Source organism: Homo sapiens, chromosome 1 (assembly GCF_000001405.40).
Source record: "Homo sapiens chromosome 1, GRCh38.p14 Primary Assembly".
Lineage (NCBI taxonomy): Eukaryota > Metazoa > Chordata > Mammalia > Primates > Hominidae > Homo > Homo sapiens.
The window spans coordinates 187,708,483-187,715,524 of NC_000001.11; the positions used below are offsets into that span (position 1 = coordinate 187,708,483).

General features: G+C 37.1%; 1 pseudogene; it reads right to left on the minus strand.

Annotated features, from left to right (window-relative positions):
- Positions 5,717 to 6,840, minus strand: LOC100129274 (NGG1 interacting factor 3 like 1 pseudogene; annotated as a pseudogene).

Here is a 7,042-nt window from a genome sequence, read left to right on the forward strand (position 1 = left end):
ACTCATTTATTTATTTATTTTTATTTTATTTTATTTTATTTTTGAGACAGATTTTCACTCCTGTCACCCAGGCTGGAGTGCAATGGTGCAATCTCAGCTCACTGCAACCTACGCCTCCCGGGTTCAAGCAATTCTCCTGCCTCAGCCTCCCAAGTAGCTGGAACTACAGGCGCACGCTACCACGCCGGGCTAATTTTTTGTATTTTTAGTAGAGACAGGGTTTTACCATGTTGGCTAGGATGGTCTCGAATTCCTGACCTCAGGTGATCCACCTGCCTCGGCCTCCCTAAGTTGTGAGATTAGAGGCTTGAGCCACCATGCTTGGTCATCCAAACACATTTAAATCAAGATTTTTCTTGAAATATCCAAAAGATGATCCCAGTTACTATGGATGAGTCCTCCCTGACTCCAAAACGGTGATAGCAGGATCCATCTTCATGAAAATATTAGCATTGATTGCTTCAGAATTCTAGAGGAAGAACTTGTAGACCAAGTGGCATGAGATATATATATTTGGGATAGTATATAGAGTATATAGAGGTATATAGATAGTATGTAGAGTATACAGAGGTGAATGGTCAGAGAAGGTGTTCAGAAGAGCATTTGTAAAATGTGGTAACTGGTCTTTTCTTCCATGGTTTTAGTTTCTTAAATTTATCTGTTTGATTCTTCTGAATTTGGTATTTATATTTAAGGGTGTTTGTGTGTACATATACAAAAATGAAACCAATGCATCTTGAGAATTACAAATGAAGAAAATTGACCCTACTAAAATGAGAAGGCAAAAAAAATTGTCATGAAAAGATAAGAAACACTTTGGTATGATGAGCTCATGATTCTATTTCTCAAGCATATTGTTTCTTCTAATTTTTAAAATTTTATAATAAAACAAAAGTAAGATATTTTCTTACTAGGCTACAAGTATCTTCTCATTTAGTAAGGGAGTGGACTCAGAGACTATTTTTGAAATTTTCTAGTATAAACTGATTTTTATTATATTAGATATTTCAAATATTTGATTTAAAATGCTATTGAAATAAAATTCATGAATTATAATGTTTATGAGAGCTTTGGGAATTTACAGTTTTTTATGGTTATAAAATGCATATTAGATAAATAATTTCAATGCACATTGTTTTCTTTTAAAGGAAAAAAAAAGTATCTGTTTTCAGGTTACCTGTGGGCAAGAACAGTGTATATTCACTGAAAGGAAATAATTCAGGAGATCAGGAAGTTTTGGTACATAATGTGGCCTTCAAAGTATCTTAACACATTTTTGATGGATATCTTACTTTTAAAGTAGTAAAAACAATCTGATGTTCCATATTTGACAAGACAGCATTTTATCAGAAGATTATCAAGTTGTAACCTGGTGATAAGATTTGAAAAATATTTAGGGAAAAAGTGAGACATGGAGCCATATAAATAAAGGTGATTTGGTAATAGAGCTATAATTATCTCAGTAAGTTCAGGTTGTGGTGGAAATGTAATGAATACTGGTAAATTCAGTATAATTCAATTCCAGATTATATATTCTCAATCACCTTTAATTAAAATAGAAATGACTGGCCGGGCACAGTGGCTTATGCCTGTATTCCCAGCACTTTGGGAGGCCGAGGTGGGCAGGTCAGCTGAGGTCAAGAGTTCAAGATCAGCCTGGCCAACATGGTGAAACCCTATCTCTAACTAAAAATACAAAAATTAGCCAGGCATGGTGTTACACACCTGTAATCCCAGCTACTCGGGAGGCTGAGGCAGGATAATCACTTGAACCCAGGAGGTGGAGATTGCAGTGGGCCAAGATCGCACCACTGCACTCCAGCCTGGGTGACAGAGTGAGATTCCATCTCAAATATAAATACATAAATACATAAATAGAAATTAGTATTATACATGCAGAATTCCACTTGGAGTCACAAGATGGTTGTATCTAGGATGAGTTGCACCTGCATTAAAATTTTTTTTTCCTAGGATAGTGTTTTATGTATTTGTTTTAAATGTGATGGTTTTAAATGGAGCATATTTCATCTGCTTCAGTGTTTTTTAAATTGTGAAAGTGTCCAGTATGAAACATATTTTTTTTCTTTCTTCAATTGTTAAGTTCAGGGGTACATGTGCAAGATGTGCAGGTTTGTTACATAACTAAATGTGTGTCATGGTGGTTTGCTGGACAGATCAACTCATCACCTAGGCATTAAGCCCAGCATTCATTAGCTATTCTTCCTGACACTCTCCATCCCCCCAACCCCAGTTGGGCCCCAGTGTGTGTTGTTCTCTACCATCTGTCCATGTGCTCTCATCATTCAGCTCCTACTTATAAATGAGAACATATGGTGTTTGATTTTCTGTTTCTGCATTTGTTTGCTGAGGATAATGGCTTCCAACTCCGTCCATGTGCCTGCCAAAGGACATGATCTTGTTCCTTTTTATGGCTGCATAGTATTTCATGGTGTAAATCTACCACATTTTATTTATCCAGTCTATCACTGATGGGCGTTTGGGTTGATTCCATGTCTTTGCTATTGTGAATAGTGCTGCAATGAACATAAATATGTGCATGTATCTTTATAGTAAGACACACATTTTGTGTTGTTACCCAAACTCTCTGTTACACATACACACACACATACACAGTATTTACTGCTTACCACATTTGTGGGGTATGTTCTGATTGATCTATTGTATTTTATTCTATTAGTTGTTGTTTTTTTTTTTTAATTTGAAAATTGCTGCCTTTGGCCCACCAAATTCAACCTGAAGTTGAAAGCATAGTCTCTTCTCTTACCTTTGGCAAATGCCACACGTTTCATTACCTAACCTGCCCTCAAAGGCATTTATATTTGAACCTTTAACTAGATTAGGAAAAATTGTTCTAAAACCTCAAGGGAACATTTTCAAAAGCTGATGAACAGATCAAACGGGGTGAAACAAATAATGTTGGATGAGAAGGGGAATCTTAGATTCAGGAAGGGAAGATAAATCATGTACACTGTTACTATTTACTATTAAGCACTTGAATCACCAATGAACCTTGAAAATCAGTAAGCATGCTTTCGACTGCAAGAATAAAAACCCCGAACACAAATGACATTAAATAGTAAGAATATATATTAAAATCAAAATGAATTAAGTAATAAAGATATTTATTATCTCCCATGTCTAAAAGTTCAGAGGTTGAGTAAGTTTATTTACAATGACTCAATGATGCTACTAAGTAATTTATTTTCCCATATTACCATTTTACTATGTTGGATATTCGATTCATCCTAAGACTAGTTTTCCTTGTGACTTTCAGGTAGCTCCAATAGGCATTCTTTCTTGGTCATGACAGAGAGAAAAAATATATATCTCCCAGGGAAGGAATGTAAGTCCTTACTCTAGTCTAATTGGTCTAACATAGTTATGTTGGATCCTTTGGATCAATGTTAATCTTCTGGGGATTGCCAGCCATTGATTGGCTGCAACTAATTCAGAACTATTCCTAGAGTTGAGAATGAGTTCAACTTCTCTGGAGTCACACAGTGGAGGAGTAAATCTTGCATCAAAATTGGGATTCGGTTAGAATGGGAAAAGTTGTGGTGATGGGGCTAGATAATACATGATGCAAAGGCAGTGTCCAGGTTTTTTAATAGATCTTTGATGGAACTATCTTATTTCATGGCTTCAACATTCCTCAATTCCCTGTAGCTGAAGCTTGGACTGTCATGGAAAAGATCAGCTTTATCTTAAGAGCTGGGATATATAACAGCCTTAGTCATGTACCAGATAACAGGAAAGTTAGCACCATTTATATCCAGATTGCTTAGTATTAATGATCTTTATTTGTATTTATTTCCAACTATTTATCACACTTAAGTGACTGAGATTCATTTTTATTTTTTACTACCATCTTTCCCTTATTTTATTCTCTTGCATTTCAGTGTGCAGATGATCATCAGCCTGATTCCTTATCATATTTAGGACTTCAGCTGCAACTTATTCAAGCCAATCTTGATACCTAGAACTTTGAATCCTCCCCTGATACCAAACTTTGTATTTAAGACCATATTTCTGCTGGAAATCATCCTGTTGCCCATTTGGATCTCCAAGTAGCTCTTGATCCTTGTTTTCCAATTGTCATGTTAATGGACACATTGCTGACTTCTGCTGTATTTATTTAATCATAATTGCTTTTCTTTAAATTTTCTTAGTGCATCTTGCCACAATTTCTAAGAACTACTGTCTAGTCAACTGGAATTCCTTTTACAGACTGCTCTAGATTTTCTCTAAACTTTAGTAGTGTCTTACATTTTTTAACACATTTAGTGCAAGATGTTGACGTCTTCCACTCTTACCCAGGGTTTACACTAAACCCTTCCATGCTTGCTATACATATCAGATATTTCTCTTTCTCCTTTTCTGGTGTGTCTGGACCAAGTATTTCATTTGGTCCCATAGGGGATCTTTTTAAAAACTATATAAGAGACTTTAAAATTCTACTTGCCCAATTGTGTATAACCTACTTATTAGTAATCTTGAGGCTGGGATGTTAGTTTATTAATTTTTTTTAATTCCTCACCTGTAGAATTTAGTCTTGTGCCTTACAATAGTCAGTCAATAAACAGAGTTAATTAATATACATATAAATGAATATAACAAAGAATTAATATATTCATTGAGCCATTACCCTTGTTTAGTTCTGAAAATTCCTCCTAGTGCCCGTAAATCTCTTCTAGATATTTCTAATTTCCTGTACTAAGACAAACCCAAGGTTTGGAGTCCTGGGTGGTTAAAAAAAAAAAAAAAAAGGAATGCTTTGTACTGCTAGAGGACTTTTTTCAGTATTCAAATGGTGCTAACCCACCCAATCCTACTCTTCTTCATTACTACTGTAGGAATATCCAATCTTTAAGTCACAGTCCTGGCACAAATGGAGAAATGGAGAAGTAGACACCCACTGTCTACAGAATTAGCACTTGGTGAAGTATATGAAGTATTTCCTATTAGTACAAGAGTGAAAAACTCAGGAAAAGGAAATGGATTTAGAAACTTTTTTTTTTTTGAGACGAAGTCTTGCTCTGTTACCCAGGCTGGAGTACAATGGCATGATCTCATGATCTCGGCTCACTGCAACCTCCACCTCCTGGTTCAAGCGATTCTCCTGCCCCAGCCTCCTGCATAGCTGGTATTATAGGCATGCACCACCATGCCCAGCAAATTTTTGTATTTTTAGTAGAAATGGGGTTTCACCATGTTGGTCAAGCTGGTCTCGAACTCCTGACCTCGTGCTCTGCCCACCTCTGCCTCCCAAAGTGCTGGGATTACAGGCGTGAGCCACCATGCCCAGCTGAGAAACTTTCTTAAAGGATAATTGACATACTAACATCATATAGAGCTTGAAAAAATACAAAGGAAAGTGCAGGGCTATCAGGACTGGTATATGTGTTGGTACCCAACCACCTAATCATATATCCTGGATTAAATTGCAAAAGCATTTAATATATCTACAGCACATATTTAAAAAGCTGGAATGATAAAAATATTCACCAATTCATGACGTTTTTTAAGTAAATAGATTTTAGTCAGTCTTTCGTAGAGTTTATAATAAATATTTGTTCTTTAACATGGTAGTTATTTTTCAGTTTTTACCTTATGAGCTATGAAACATGTGGTGAGCCAGTGTAACAAATCAGAAATTATAATAAATTTTAAGACACTCTTCTGAAAGGGCCCAATCGATTTGTAGATTGTGTCATCCTGATGTTCCTATCTGCGTTATACTACATAAAGAAGGTCCTTGCTTGTCTCTGAAGGATAATATTAATCTTACTCTTCAAGTAAGCACCCAGTATATCTCAAATGTCAGAAAGAAAGTCTTATTCAGTGTTGCTGAGTTCATAAAGGATGACATTTACTCCTTAGGAAGCAGCATTCAGAATATTATGATGAGACATCCCACCTGGGATGACCTTTACCCAGCTGGAGGTAAAGGTCAGCTTCTATACTCTGCAGAACGCTGCTCCCAGAACCAGCACACAGGGCCACGACTTTGACTTTAGAACTCTTCAGTCCTCGCTACTCTAAGAACTAAGCACATATGTAATAGTTTTAAGTGGCTTGTGATTTACTCAGTCATGGCTGTCAGGGAGATAGATTCATCCAGTATGCATAACCATCCCATTCCAGTATGTAGAAGCAAAGGCTTCTCCAGTACATAATTTCAGTCTTCTGATGTCATTTTATGCTCTGGGAGAGAAAAGCCACTACCTGCATCAAAGTCTTCTGAGTATAACTGAGACTGAGTCATGTTTGTTTTTCATCATCAATCCCAGGAGACAAAGAAGCGACAGAAACATTCACAACTCTTTTTCACTGCAGACGTGACTTTGTCCAGGTCTTCGGTGGGTTCTCTATGGAGTCATTGGAAGCTTCGAAAGGATGCATCAGCCTAGAGGTCCAAGCTCCAAGCCCTTTAGCCAACCAGTTGCAAACTCCCTGGGGTGCAGCATCATAGGCTATGTGAGGAAAATACATACCAACTTCGTTCTCCAGACCCTGGATTACCAGGAGTTCTTTCCAGGTTTTCTAGGTTATGTGCCTTATAGGTCTGAAAATTGGTGGATGGCAGGAGAGAATGAGGTCTGCCTTCCTTCACAGCACCTCCTCCATCACTCCCTCAGTCAAGTCATTGGTCTGGAAGAGTGTGTTTATAGCATGTGATGCTCTTGGTTCCACCAGTAATCCAATATTGTCACAACTCTCAGCAAATGAGAGGGATGCAAAGTCATTCAAGGAGGCAAGAAGAGCCTTCAAATCCATGAAATAATGAGATTTGCAGATCAGGGAATCTTTAAGCAGAACAGATTCCATGTCCTGATACTATGCCATTCTCTAGATTCTTCTAAACCTGGCAAGTTTGAAAGTGAAGCCCTTGTGGGCCACCACACTGGCTTTGAGTTATTTACTGTTACATTTGAAAGAGCCCTTGGAAATAACATAATAGAACACCCTCATTTCACAGATTAGAAAACTGTGAGGCTATATAGCTTGAAGTCACAGTTAA